The following is a 15,189-nucleotide window of genomic DNA, read 5'->3' as shown; positions in this document are numbered from 1 at the left end:
TCAAAGCCAGTCTAGACAATATTGTAAGACCCAGTTTCTGAAAAAAACAAAAAGACAAAAAATGAATTGCTTAGCTGAGGTTTCCAAGACATTTGGTTAACATAAATTTATACTATGAGGAGATTTATACGCAAAAACAAACTTCAATCTAGCCCCCCACCGTCAGAACTTTTAAAAAACTAAATTTTAGTGAAGTTCAAATTGTATATTCTTTTGCTATGCAGATAAGACTATAGCGTGAGTGCACAAACACACACACTTCTTTAGAGATTTCTACATTTTAATTTTTAGACAAAGAAGTATGATTGTATTCTATTCTGAACTAAGATAAGCCCTAGTGGTCTCTATAACAATAAAATCTGATTAATTACTGAAATTGAAGCAGCAGCATGAGAAAGGCTCAGCCTAACACAAGGAGTTCCCAACAGCACAAGGTAAAGGGTGATACCCCAGAATCCAGAAGACGATCATGCGTCTCCCTGTGCTGCCTCTTATTAGCTTTGTTTCCTCTGGGTAAACTGCAATGTCTCTGGAACTTTTTCCTCAATGTATATGATACCGTATTTACCAGAGAAGTTTACTGTGAGACTCAAATGAAAAATAATTTATGGGAGGTACTTTGAAAACTATAAAACACAGGCAAAAGAAGACTTAAATATTTACCTAAGGACCAAAATGATCAAGTGGACCAAAAATTATCAAAACAAAGTTTAAGTATAAAAATGTATAGTGGCCAAAGCAAAAAGATAATCCTTTTATTTGTCCCAGGCCACTTCACTCTCCTTTCTTCTCCACAGTGTTCTCCTCAACTGCCAGAAAGCCTCAGAGGCAAGTGGGCTTTTCTCAAATGTAACATAAAACATAGAAGCCAACATAAGGGTTCCAAGAAACCAGAGACTGTCAAAGAAGGCTCCTAAGTAAAGTGGCACCTGCAGGGCAGTTTTGTAATGCGTGTCAAAACCCTGGAAATACTTCTTTGACTCAGCATTTCTGCTTTTGGGAATGCATCAAAGCAAATAATGATCCTAGAGCATCTAGTTTATTAACAAGGGCTCATAATGCACCAAGTGTTCTGTTTTGCTAAGAGGTTTATGTAAACATCTCATGTTGTCCTTAAGACTACAGAATAGGACCCCGGTTTGACGATGAGAAAAACTGAGGCAAGAGGAAGCTTAGCAATTTGCCCAGGCCCACAGAGTAAATAAATGGCACAGGTGGGATTCAAGTCCAAATTTTCTAACTCCAGCACTGGGGCTCTTCACCACTCCTCTACAGTGCATAAAGGTTTTATAGTCTGGTTCATTACAACTCACAATAGAAATACGAAGCAATCTAGATGCCAGAAACAAGAGAGTAATTAAATGATCTTAGGTTCATTCCCACAATGACGCCATGGCAGCCATTAAAAACAATACTGCAGGACAAAGGAATGGCACGCCTTACATCACTTTCTCTGAGTCTGCTCCTAACCTTGCCTAAAAGGGAAGTAGGGAAAAGAGATAGGAAACAACAATTACCTTTGCAGCTGCTGACTAAAGTCAACTGAGCAAAGATAAACATTAACTCCCAGGAGACTTCACCATCAAATAAATGGGACCAACTATCTAAATGAGCTGCTCACCCTCAGGTGCAACAAGCACCTAAGGTAGAAGAAACAGTTTCAAAGTTGGGCAGGGAGAGGTGGGAGTGCTCTGAAACAACATCCGGGATTTGACAGGGCTGGCTACCCCAGTTCACTTTACCCACAATTTTCCTGAATAGCAGATCCAGATAAAACACCCTTATTCAAGATTGAATAATAAAGCAAATGGAATTCAGTATGGGATCTGCGAAGGAACACTGAAAAACAAACAACATACAATATACATAAAAAGAAAAAATCCAGACAAATATAATCATGCCCCTGAGACTCACATTATCTCAGAATTCAAATCATTGTTTGAAATTAATGAAAGAGAAACAGTTTAATTCTATATTTACACTCTGTTTCACTCATGGAAGAAAAACAACTTACTGCCTTACTCCACCACTTTTTCATTTAAACATAAATAAAATACTGTCTCAGGAAGAAAGAAATCTATTAGAGAATATCTGTGCAACATAAAAGTGAATCCAATATGAGATGATATGACATACTTTTGTAAAGCAAAGAAAAAAATCATCTTTGGAAATGATGCAAAGATTGATGGGGGAAGAAAGGATAACAGCTACTAGAGCAGGATTTCTTTAGCATCTTATATAATTAGAGAGCACATCGTTTTTGACAGATTTCACAAGAAGAACAAAAATACAGTATATTCACCTAAAATACATTTGTATTATGATAAACTTTTCATTTAGTGCTTTACTGCTTTGTGCCCTATTCTGGATGAAGAAACAAGAGTCCTAAGCAAAGAATAACTAAGTGCGTTATCTATAGTCAAAGAAATTAAAGTGAACCTACATGGCTTGGAAAAAAGCAGATGAGAGACAAGAAAGAGGCAGACAAGGCAAACAACTACGAAGTGAACCACTATAGCTCAGGAAACACACAGAAAACTATCACTAAACAAATGAAATCCCCTTAGAAATAACAAAAAAGCAGAACAGACATTGCTAAAAACAATGGAAAACCAAGAAGATTTTAAGAAAAATCACAGAATGCAAAAGTAAACAAATGAAAGCAATTACAGAAACAATTATAAAGAATACAGAGAACAGAGATATAGGGCACTTTAAATAAATACACATATCCTTTAGTCCTGCTATTTCACTTCTTAAAATTTATCCTACATATATACTTGCACAAAATTCACAAAGATATGTGAAAGACTATTCACTGAAATAAAATGAAAAAACTGAAAATAATCTAGAAGTTCATCAATTCAAATAAATTCACATGATTATTACTCAGCTATTGGAAATAATGAGTTAGAGTGATCCATACTGGCGTGAAAGAGCAAGTTGCAGAATGGTGTTAATAGGATGCTCTCACTTGTAATTTAAAAAAAAAAAAAAAAAAAAAAGACTGGCCTAGCACAGTGGCTCCCAGCACTTTGGGAGGCCAAGGCAGGAAGATCACTTGAGGCCAGGAGTTCAAGAACAGCCTGGGCAACATGGCAAAACCCAGACTCTACTAAAAATACAAAAATTAGCTGGGTGTGGTGGTATATGCCTGTAATCCCGGCCACTCGGGAGGCTGAGGCACAAGAATTGCTTGAACCCAAGAGACGGAGGTTGCAGTGAGCCAAGATTGTACCACTGCACTCCAACCTGGGCCACAGAGTCTCAAAAAAAAAAAAAAAAGAAAGAAAAAATTATATACAGACACAACTCTGACACACATATGTAAATATTTGTGCATCCACAGGAAATGACTTGAAGGAGGTACACTAAACTGATGCCAGTGGTCACCCATGCAAGTGGGACTTTTAAATTTTATAAAATGTCATCTATCTACAATATGAGAAGATGGTAGATCATTAAGTAAAATAAGACAGGTTCTGGCATATTAGCATTATCCCATTTTGTGAAAAATCTGTATAACTACATGTGTGTATCTATATATGTAATATAAAAGAAGACATACACTAGATGAGTACAGACATTGGTTTCATCTGGGTAGATACAATCATGGGTGTTTCATTTTGTGTCTATGTATGTTGAGTTTTGTACTTTTCTGAATGAACATAAATTCTTTTATAATTAAAAAATATATATTCTCCAAGTCTTTCCTTATCTCCTCTGACCTAAGAAATGTTCAAGTTGACATCACCTATTACTTGACCTTTTTTGTATCAGGAGAATTAACTATGCCAGTCTGTGAAGCGCCTGTCAACAATATTGCCATATCTTGACTCTCTTCCTACTGCACTAGTTCTCAAACCTCAGTACCTGTACACATCAGCTTATTTCTAACACACACAACTCCCCCACCAGAAGATCCAAATTCAACAGGTCTACATGGAACATAGGAATCTGTACTTTTAACAACTGCCACATGTAATTTCTGGTTGAGAAAAACTTGTCTCTCTGTATGTAAGTTTCCTTTCCTAAATTATTTCATAACTTGTTACTCAAATACTAATATTTCTTAGTCTTCATCCTTATCCTCTTGTCTCATTTTATTTAGTTTTTCAAGGACATTTTATCCTTACCTCTGGTTTTAACTATGCAAATAACTCCCTAATTTATTCTTCAGTTCTGTATATCTAATTTCCTATTAGACACTTCCAACTAAATATCCCAGTTACTCCAAAATTTGTATGTTCAAAAGGTAAATAAAACTTTCTCCCTAAACGATCTCCTCCTGTATTCTCTATCTCAGTAAGAGCCATTAAACCAAACCCAACCAGTAGGCCAAGCTGGAAACTGGTCTTCCCCTCAATTCCTACAGACTACCTCGCCTAGTAAATTGCCAAATCCTGACTTGTCATTCTCCTAAACTTCTCTCAAATCTACCCTCTCTCTTCCACCAGCTGAACTGCTACTTACTATTCACGCACCAGTTCAAAAACTTCCCTCCCTAAAATAGGCTTGGCTCATATCTCTCCTTTATCCCTCCTTGCCCAAATAGTAACCACCTCCTTTGTGCTCTCTAAGTGGTTTATAATTTAATCCTCTGGTGCCACTGTTTGCATACTTCCCTCCTGTTGTAAGTTCCATGAGGACAAAAGTGTTTTATGTATTTTTACATAGTAGGCATTCAAACATCTGCTGAACTAATAAATAAAAAGTAACATATTTAAAGAACAAAGTTCAAAGCATGATGTAGGCTGAAAAATATAAAACAGAATAAAGAGCAAAGTATGCCTTCAAATATTTAAATGAGTATGTCTACATTTAATGAGTTTGTGAAAATACATTTGTGTTTCCAATAATTTCTACTTTATAGTATCTGAGATCACATTTAGAGTAAACACTCCAAATACACATTTTGACCAAATGCCAAATGGCCAAGTGTTAAAAATTAATATTCTGTTGAATATAACTACAAGAAAACAGGACAGAATATATATGAAACATTGGTTTTAAACATCAGACAACAGGGAACACGGGATTGTGATCCCTGAGAGAAGGGAAACACTGGCTGCCAGCTACTTCCAGGTCACAATACAGGGACAGGAAAGCCAAGCAGTCTGGTGGTTTCACTGAGTTTTAAACACAGATCAGTTTGGAGAGACCAAGATGGCTAGAATTTACAGGGTATTAAGCTGGAGGGAGAGCTGAAAGTAAGTGAGAGCCCTAGAGATAAACCATAATATATTCCACCAGAATAGAAAAACCTTGTAATGTATCAGGTAATGATAGACTCCTCAGAAGAAGTAGCAGCCTTAGTAGAAGCAGCCTTAGTAGAGACAATAATTCAGCACTACGTTAAAAACTGTTCTGGACCCACACTAATAAATTCTAAAAGCAAGCCCTGAAACAACCCAACAGATTCCAAGTAACTGTGCACCCCAACTAAATCCAACACACTTCAGTAATATAATAAATCAAGCAAGCAACAGTATAAACTCAATGGCTGGCATACAATAAAAATTACCAAGCATGCAAAGGAAGAGAAAAATATGAACCATAACCAAGAGAAAAAAAGGCAATAAATGAAGACCTAGAAATGACAGTGATGATGGCAGGAACAGAAAAGGATTGTAAAACTATAGTACAAATATGTTCCATATACTCAAGAAGTGAGAGGAAAACATCACCATAAGGAGAGAAGGAGAAGATACAAAAGACACCAAAATTGAACTTTTAGAGATGAAAATTAAATATACTGAAACGAAAACCATACTGGATACAATTAACAGATTAAACTAGAGAAGAAAAGCTCAGTGAACTTGTAGACAATGTAATAGAAGCTATCCAAAATGAAACATGGAGAGACAAAACTTAAAAACAAACGTAGAGTGTAAGTGACTTTTTAAGCACCATAAAAGGTGAATAACTGGAGTTCCACGAAGAGACATAGTGAGTAAGCGAGTGAGTGAGTGAGAGAGAGAGAGTGTGTGTGTGTGTGTGTGGGTGTGCACGTGCGTGCACTGGGGAAGTGGGTGCAGAAGAAAAAAAAATTTGAAGACAAAATAGCAGAGAACTTCCCAAATTTGATGAAAACCGTAAACTGACAGTACCAAGGAAGCTCAGCAAACCCTAAGAATAAACATAAAGAAAGCCAAGGCAAATCATAACCAAATGGCTGAAAACCAGTGATAAAGAAAAAATATTAATTGACCAGAAAAAAAGTACACATTATATACAGAGGAACCAAGGACAACAGACTTCACATCTATATGAACCGGAAAACAAGACAATGGAGCACTATCTTCAAAGTACTAAGAAGAAGAAAAAAAAAAAAGCATCAACCCAGATATACTCAATGAAAATGTATTTCAAAAATTAAGGCAAAATAAATTTATTCACATGAATAAGGGCCGTGAAAATTCACCACCAGTTGACCACCACTAGAGTAACTATGGAAAGAAATTCTTCAGGCAAAGTAAAACAATACCAGATGGAAATCTGAATCTTACACGAAGGAATAAAGAACATCTGAAATGGTAAATATGAGGGTAACAGAAGTTATTCTTCATTTTTCAATCCCTTTTAAACAGTTAAAATATAACTGTTTAAAAATAGTAACAATTAATTAGAGGGTTTAAGACAGACATATTGATAAAATGTATGACAAAATAGGATAAAAAATGTGGCAGGGGAGATGGAGACAAAAAAAGACTGTCATAGATTTCTACATTAAACATGAAGTGATGTTATTTGAAGAAAACCTGTAATAAGTTATCTTGTAAACCCTAACACAAACACTAGAAAAATAAAACAGAATAATACCTAATAGGTGAACAGCAGAATAAAAGTGATGTTATCCCCCTTTTTGCAAATAAGGAAGCTAAGTTCCTTTCTTGGGTACAGACCTGTTATTTGACTTACAAAATCTAAAACTACTACAGCTATCAGATACTATTTTGTTTTTCAAAACAACAGTCAATCGTATAAAATGATTTTAGTATGTCTTAATATCTATTAAGATATTTGCTTCTTTATAGTTTCTGCCTTTTTCCTTTTTAATCCTCAACCTCATTCCTGCATTCACAATATATATGTTCTTACCGCTACAGAGTTTCTCAATCTCAGCATTACTAACATTTTGGGTCAGATAAGTCTTTGTTGTAGGAGGCTGTGTATGCATGGTAGGACACTTAGCAGCTTCCTTGGCCTCTACCCACTAGATGCCAGTAGCACTCAGTTGCAGTAACCAAAACTGTCTCCAAATATTACCAAACATTTCCTTGGGGAGCAAAATCACCACTTACCCTATTTTAGCACTTTAGACTACAGTGCCTTATGTAACAGTTAAATGTCTACATGTCTATGCCCTGCACTGGACTGTAAGTACTACCAACGTTCAACACATACATTCACCAAGCGTCTAAGTAACAGTGATTGGGATACAACAGTGAATTTCATTCCATCGCCATGCCTTACTCATCTCTGCATTCCCCAAAGGCCTTACTCATAATAAGCAACTATAGATTTACTGAAGTGAACGAGCTGTACGGTGAAGAGAAATTTCATCAATGACGTGAATGCAGACAGGCATTTGGTGGCAAAAGCAACATCACCAAATAGAAAATAGGGCCACTTACCTAATGACTTTTTACAAAATTAATCCAAGAATATTTGTTCTGTCACTTTTGTTTTCCCAAACAGTCACAGAGAAAAATTATTGATTTTTCAACTGCATTCCAGATTGAGATCTACTTATAAGGTATGTTTGAGCCCAACTAGCCACTGGTATTGAAAGGAATAACATGGGTCTAGTTGACAAAGTACTAAGTGTGAATGGCTACTGACTTCAAAACTACTTATTCAGCAACAATAAACACAACTTTTAAACATGCAACGGTCCATTGTTAGAAGTTAATTAGAATAATCAGATGAAGGCAGGAGGATAAAACAGTTAACATTTTCATAATAAAAAACTCATTAGACCTACATTTGAATACAGTTTTAAGAAATCACTGTAAAGGATATATGCCCTCAAATGATTATCTTAGTTTCACTATTGAGTGTGCATCTGTAATATATTTGACTTTCAAAAATATTTTCAACAACTGATTTATAATAAAACTTTGTATATGTGTATGGCAATATTATAAGGATGATATGCTATAATTAAAATGCTATGTAATTGAATACCTACAAAAAAATGCAACAACAAAAAACTAAAATCTTGAGATTGTGCTTTCAACATGAATATGCTCCCTAGAAAATGGAGTAACATTCTTAATCTTGTACGTAGCCCTATCCACAAGACTATTTCTAACAGAAAATATGTTCAGAATTTTAACCCAGGAACACATTTCTTTTTATCAGTGACATCTATGACGCCATGACTCTAAGAGTATATTGCTGAAAAGGCATTTAAGTAGCTCTTACAGATATAAGGATCTATCCTAAGCTGCCAGTAGCCGAAATAAGTCAACAGATCTACTTTGCAGATGGGCCAGTCATAGGAAGCACCCAAAAGCCCACACAGAACCTATTAACTAACAGGGTATATTACAGCATAAAAAAAGAAGAATGTGAAAAATAACTTTAAGGTTTTAAGCCTGGGATGCTGAAAGAAAATTTTTTTCTTTGCAAATCAGAAGGTAAATCAGAAGGCTTTGCAAATTAGAAGGTAACTGGAAGACAGTATTTTATATCAACATAGGAATATCCAAGAGGCTAGGTACAGTGGGCGCATACCTGTAATCCCAGCACATTGGGAGGCCAAGGCAGGTGGACGGCTTGAGCCCAGGAGTTTGAGACCAGCCTGGCCAACACGGTGAAACCCCACCTCTAAAAAAATATAAAAATTAGCTAGGCGTGGTAGCACACACCTGTGGTTCCAGCTACTCGGGAAGCTGAGAAGGGAGAATCGCTTGAGCCCTGGGAGGAGGAGGTTGCAGTGAGCCAAGATTGCGCCACTGCACCCTAGCCTGGGTGACAGAGCAAGACCATGTCTCAAAACATATAAATTATATAAATAATAATACCCAAAAAAAGAACTAAAAATTAAGAGATTTACTTGGGGTCAGAGATGGAGATGTTACTCTAAGAATAATCCACATATAGAGAACCTGAAAGCTGGTCTCAGCGACTGGGAAAGAACAGAAATTCAAGAGAGCATCTATGAAGACAACCATGATAAAGGGTTCCAGGACCGGCATAAAAGGAACCACAAATAAATGGCAGTCAGAAAGGTAGGTGAGGTAGAGATTTAGAAGAATTTAGTGTCACTGAAGTCAAGAAATGGTTTTAAGCATGAGTGGTCAGCACTGGACTTCTAGACTTCTTGAGGGCAGAAATTCCTTCCTCTCTGAACACGACCAGAAGCCTGTATCACAGTACCTGCCACACGGTATGCTCTCAACAAATACTAATACCGTACCCTTGCATTGTGCCTGCCATATGCCAGACACTGTTTAATTGCTTTACATACATGAATTCATAATTCTCACCACAGAAGGTGCTATTATGCCCATTCTACGCATAGGAAAACTGAGTCATCAAGCATTTCAGTAATTTGCCTGAACTCCCACACCCAGGAGAATCTGTCCTGTAAAGAGACTACTGGTTAGATCTGGTTAGAACATTACCAAGCTGAGAGCAAGTTCAATGCAATGCCAGAGGAAGAACTCAAATTGCAGGATGTTAAAGCACACCTGAGGTATCCATCACTTCCTCCCTGTCCACTCTCCTTTTGTTAAATATGTTGGCATGGCCAGTTTAAAAGGAGCAGCCCTGCAAACTGTGAGACAAATCTAAGTCTCTTCCTCATCCATTTTTCCCATTCCTATCTTTCCTCACTCTCCAGCCAACTGTGCTAGAAGCAGAAACCTGACCAATTGGATTCTCTCTCTAGAAACATAACTGAGACTTGGAGATGTTTGCTGAGAACCATGTTGCATAGTCAGTGAGTCTGATGTTGGCATCATGGCAAACCAAAGTCTCATGCAAATCAAAGTTTTGGGGAAGTGGAAACCAAGAGCTTTAAAGAGAAGGCCAATCTGAAAGAAACTGGAACAGACCTGCGTGAGTAGCAGAGACATAAGACCATGTGCTTCCAGAGAAAAACTGGAAGAGTAACTGCCTGAAGACTTTCTGGTTCCCAAAACGCTGAATTGGAATCATGCAATGGACTTCAGCAGCACTGTATGACAAATGCTTTTTTTTTAAGTAGGCTAATTAAATTGGCTTTTTCTTCCTTGCAATCAAAGAATCCTCAAACCATTACGGGAGGTAAAAATAAAAACACTGAGTAAGCAGCTACTATGTGCTTCGCACTAACTTTTTGAGGTGGGTATGAAGAAAATGAGGCTCATTTAATTAATAGACCTGACTCCCAAACCGAAACTCTTTACAATATACCTCATTTTCAGTCAAGTAACATCCTCTCTGTTCCAGGCCTCTACCCCATTTATTTCCCAAGAAACATTCTCAGATTATTCTAAAAATGATAACTTTTCTCCTTTTACCATGTCCAGTCTCTAATCTACAAATTTCAAATGCCTTTACTCCAGAAGTTTTTTGTTGTTGTTTTTTGAGGCAGAGTCTCACTCAGTCGCCCAGGGTGGAGTGCAGTGGCACGATCTCGGCTCACTGCAATCTCCCATCTCTCAGGCTCAAGCGATTCTTGTGCCTCAGCCTCTCGACTAGATGGGATTACAGGCATGTGCCATAACACGTGGCTAATTTTTTATTTTTTAGTAAAGACAGGGTTTTTCCATGTTGGCCAGGCTGGTCTTGAACTCCTGGTCTCAAGTGATCCACCCGCCTCAGCCTCCTAAAGTCCTGGGATTACAAGTGTAAGGCACCAAGCCTGGCCCAGAAGTATTTTTTTAATAAACTTTTATATGTAAGGATGACTGGGAGAATCGAGACACTTGGATCTTTCCAGGCTGTTTTTAAACTGATAAAGCATTTTTCTTTCTCTTCCCCATATTACCAGCTCATTGACCCTTAACTCATGCCCAGGCTTAACTTAAAGCTTTTCTCGACCTGTCCTCACCCTTCAATCCTTCCAGGTAGTTGATTAATAAAATGCAGACCACAAGACAGGAAAAAAAACAAAATCAGTTACCCTATCCAAAGTTACTTCAATTACTTTTGAAAAACCAAACACCACACGCCCTACAAGTTTGAAACCCTTGCCAAAAGGTTATGAAGACCAGCCAAAAAATTTATTTTTCTACTTCTGAAAATTAGTTTGCTAAGATGGAGTAAGAAGGAATTTTTTCTAATCAACACTGGTCTCCTCTGCCCATTCACAAAGAGATATTTTCTAAGTCTTTCACATTTTTGTCACGTATAGACAGAATTCCTCTACCTATTTACAACTGGCATTTTCTCTTAAAACGGCCTTTAATATATTGTCCAAATTGGTTTGAGTTCCTTTTCCAGACAGTAAGTTCCTAAAATTAAAAAATAAAAAAATTAAAAGTACCGTATTTTTTCCAGCCTCTAAAGGCAAAAGAGGACTTCTTCAGCTTCTAGACTTATCCCTGGAGTTCAGGGGGCTAGAGAAGGCTAGAGAATTTCTCACTATGGTTCCATGTCTTAGGCAACTTCCCATATCCTCAACAACTGCAAAATATCACTGGCCTAGGAGTCCACTGCTAGGCCCTTATCAATATTGTCGATACTGCAGTTATGTGGGTACATACATTAGTCTCTAGCTCAGCTTGGGAACCCACTTCTTCCCTGATTTCCTTACATTCTTTGACCTTTCATAAATTACTGTTACAGCTACAATAGTGACATTCACTGTCCACCCCTGGGTCAGTTTTGTCAGGAGGAACAACGACAAGAAAAAATGAATAATCAGGGTACCGTTTGAAAAAGTAAATGTGTTTTTCAAAAAAAAAAAAAATCATTCAATTGCACTATTTTAACTGACACCAATCATGCCAGGCACTGGGCTGCCATCCTAAAATGATGACATTAAAAAAAATATATCTGTGCATTACTGATACCCCATTTTTTCTTAGTACTCCATATTTTGAGTATTTTCAGACATAACAAAATAACAATCGACATGACATTTCTAAAACAGTGGGAAGCAGCTAAGCAAAACGAGCATTTTGCAAGCGATTGAAAAGCTGAAAAGAGAACAGGAATTAACTCCAGTTTGTACTAAAGCTATTAGGTATGTATCTCAGCAGTCTTTCTCACCATGAAACTCCTTAACATCTAAAGCTAAACCACATCCAACTTTATATGGTTTTAGAAGACAGACAAAGCAGAGAAAAAAAATGAAAGCTGGTAATATGGGGAAGAGAAAAAATGTTAGCTTTTACTGTCATTGTCACTTTTTAATACTTCGGTTACATCTACATATTTTTTATAAAGCAGCTTAGATGCCTGGATTAACAGCAGTATACTCAATCCATTCGGGGTACTTTATGGCCAGCCTTAAGCCATTAACAGCCTAGGAGAGTATTTGACAGCAAATCCAAATATCAATACTCTGAGGAGCCCCTTGACGCCTTCCGTTTACAAGATCTGAGCAGCGCCTGCTTCCAAGGCTCCGGGGGTCTGACAGTGAAGGATGCTGTTCGGGAACAAAGTGCAACGTCCTCCCAACCGCTGCAAATGTTCCTGTGCGCACACCACGAACACACACTAAGCACGCGCACCACGCACCCGGGGGGCCGTCTCTGAAGACCACCCCGGGGATGGAAACAGCCTGTCATTAAAAGGGGCGGCAGCTCCACCGCCACACTTGGGACCCCAGGAAGACGCGTCTCGAGACCCAGCACCTCCCTCTACTCTGGGCCCGGTGCGGTGAGTTTCCTCCTTCGGCCGCGCTCCTCCCGCCCTCCTCCCTCCGCCATGCGAAGGCGCAGCTCTCGGGCGGCCCCGAAGCCAGAAGGGGGACCAGCGGCAGGCGGAGGGGCTGGAGCGCCGGAGCCGGGCCGCTCCATCCATGCCGGCCGCACACCCGCCGCCACCCCATCTAAACGCAGCCTCCGCGGCGAGCACGTCGGCGCCCGGCTCACCTGGGGGCCGCAGCCTCCGCAGCTCACAGACATGTCACCGGCCTCAACGACCCGTGAGCGAGCCGGGCAAGCAAGCTGGCCCCCTCCCGCGCTGACCCCCAGCCCTCCCCCTCCCAGCCCCGCGGCCCGCCCCCGCCCTGCCCACCCCTCGGCTTCCGCCGCCGCCGCCGCCGCCGCAGCTCCGGCCCGCAACACCGCCTACTCTCCACGCCTCCCACTCTCTCTCGCGAGAGGGCAGCGCGCCTCTCGCGAGAAAAATTCCGCGGCCGAGCCCGCGCAAAAGTGGGTGGGCGTTTAAAAAGGGAAAGAAGGAACAGGAAAAAAAGCCTTCCCACGTGCTCCAGTGCAGCCCGCGGAGCAGCCCGCGGGGCAGCCCCGCTGGTCACATGACTTAAAGGGGGCCTCTCCATTGGCCGGGACCCACTCAGCCTTGGGAGCTTTAAATTCGAGGGCGACCTACGAACCTGCGGCGGACGTCTTGCGCGCTTCCTGGTCCGTTGCCTTGGAAACGGCTTAACCCTTCCCTCTGGCAAGTCCCCAGGCCTTGGCTTGCTCCGCAGATTTGGTTTCAGGCTCTGCCTCTTTTCCCTCGACCCCTTAGTCTTAACAGCCTGGGGCCAGCTGGGCTCCTTCTTCGCCACAAGGCTAGTTTTGCTTTCTTCCGAAGCCCGGGGCCCTTCCCAAAGTGGCAGCCCCACCAGATCCGAAGGCCCAAGGAAGGCTCATCCTTTCTGATGGCTCCGCCCCTTCTCCCAGCATCTCCGGGGAGGACCACTCACAGCGCACCGGGCAACCAGCCCTATCCCAGCCAAGAAGTAGCTTCCAGGGTTCTCAGGGCCCTAGTGCTCACCCTGATGTCTTTACGTGGTATGGAAATCGGAAAGTAAAGCTTTGGTCACTGGGAAGCCTAGCCAGAGATGAAAAGCTGTTATGGTGATTATTTTCACCTAAAATCGGAAGGGCCAGTCCAGTCAAATTGCCCTGTCTCCTAAAGGGCATCTGTTCCTCAAGAGTGGAAACACCTGGCAATAAGAAAGACATTTTTGAGTGTATCCTCGTTATGAGTTAAGTTTTGCCCTGTTCAGAGGAGAGGGTCACGGAAGAAAGGGTGCATTCGTTTGTTCATTTCTTCATTCAACAAACACTACTCTAGGCTGTTGATTGAACAATGATGAAGACAAGTAGTGTAGATTCTAGGGAACTTATCTGAGGGTGAAAAGAAAAAAAATCTGTTGGTTTTAAGCTGTATGCAAAGAAGTTACAATAAGTGACGTGATGGTGATGGTGACTGAGTGGCTAGTAAAGGGGATGCCCTTTTAAGGAGGAGATATTTTAGCAGCGATTTGAATAACAGACGCAAAAATCAGAGCATAGAGCATTCCAGGAAAAGGATAACACTAATTCAAAGGCCCTAAGTAAGGATCTATTCTAGTGCATTTGAGGGAAGAAGAAATGAGAAAGTAAACTTTCTTGAGCCTGGAGATGGAAACTGTAAGAGTTAAAGAAAGAAACACAAAAAGCAGCTTAACAGAGACAGGTTTATTTTGGAGAATAAACCTGAGAGGGGCTTCTGGCCGATTTCGGTCAGGAGTGTTCTCTCTTACAGACTAAAGGTATTTAGTGGTTTAGGGAGGGAGAGCATATTGTAGACTTGGAATGTTTCTGGGTGGAGGAGAGTTTTATTGTCAGGGGTGTAATGTCTCTGGTTGGAGGGGAGGCATATTTCTGATCAGAGTGGGGTTTATCTCAGGGTTGGAAAGTTTCTGGTCAGAAGTGTTATTTGTGGTTTATGGTCATGCTGACATTAGCCATTAGGCTGATGTTTCTGGGGCTGGATTTAGGCGGTTTTTAATCAAGGGGAACTTAAAATGGCGGTGCTTGTCCAAGATGGTGATGCTCTTGCTCTGTCAGAAACTAGCATGGGCCAGATCCTGTAAGGCTTTGTTAGCCAAGAAAGGAATTGAAAGTTTATTCTAAACGCAATATAAGGTATTACAGAGTTTTTAATAGGGGAGAGACACCCAGAGTTTACTTTTTTTTAAAAAAAAAAAGTCTCGTCTTTGAAAAGAATGGGTCTTAAAGAGGCCAAAGCAGAAGTAAGGGAGATTAGGAGATTTATAGGCCAGGTGAGAGACAGTCATGAAATTTAATT

General features: G+C 40.0%; 1 protein-coding gene across 21 annotated transcripts in view, besides 3 other annotated features; it reads right to left on the bottom strand.

The window, feature by feature from the left end:
- The window catches only part of AKAP11 (A-kinase anchoring protein 11), a 51,785-nt gene extending 37,996 nt beyond the window's left edge, over positions 1-13,789 (bottom strand). For 10 of the 21 annotated variants that reach the window (NM_016248.4, XM_005266249.4, XM_005266247.2 and 7 more), the window contains exon 1: positions 13,038-13,114. The gene's annotated coding sequence lies outside the window, so the exon portion shown is untranslated. Of the gene's footprint in view, positions 1-12,504; positions 13,115-13,182; positions 13,245-13,501 lie in introns of those variants that run through there. The other 11 variants (XM_011534904.2, XM_047430073.1, XM_047430077.1 and 8 more) reach the window with 3 other exon arrangements.
- Positions 713-1,214: an enhancer, noted in NCBI's record as "NANOG hESC enhancer chr13:42858188-42858689 (GRCh37/hg19 assembly coordinates)". NCBI's record gives its function as "activates a minimal SCP1, AML or CMV promoter by ChIP-STARR-seq in naive H9 embryonic stem cells {active_cell/tissue: H9 hESC(naive)}" and the evidence as "EXISTENCE:reporter gene assay evidence [ECO:0000049][PMID:30033119]".
- Positions 12,855-13,204: a silencer, noted in NCBI's record as "silent region_5298". NCBI's record gives its function as "represses an Ori minimal core promoter by ATAC-STARR-seq in GM12878 lymphoblastoid cells {active_cell/tissue: GM12878}" and the evidence as "EXISTENCE:reporter gene assay evidence [ECO:0000049][PMID:35858748]".
- Positions 13,745-13,924: an enhancer, noted in NCBI's record as "active region_7639". NCBI's record gives its function as "activates an Ori minimal core promoter by ATAC-STARR-seq in GM12878 lymphoblastoid cells {active_cell/tissue: GM12878}" and the evidence as "EXISTENCE:reporter gene assay evidence [ECO:0000049][PMID:35858748]".

This window comes from Homo sapiens, chromosome 13, assembly GCF_000001405.40.
Source record: "Homo sapiens chromosome 13, GRCh38.p14 Primary Assembly".
NCBI lineage: Eukaryota > Metazoa > Chordata > Mammalia > Primates > Hominidae > Homo > Homo sapiens.
The sequence above is the reverse complement of the archived record's forward strand: the minus strand, read 5'-3'. Positions and strand labels throughout refer to the sequence as shown.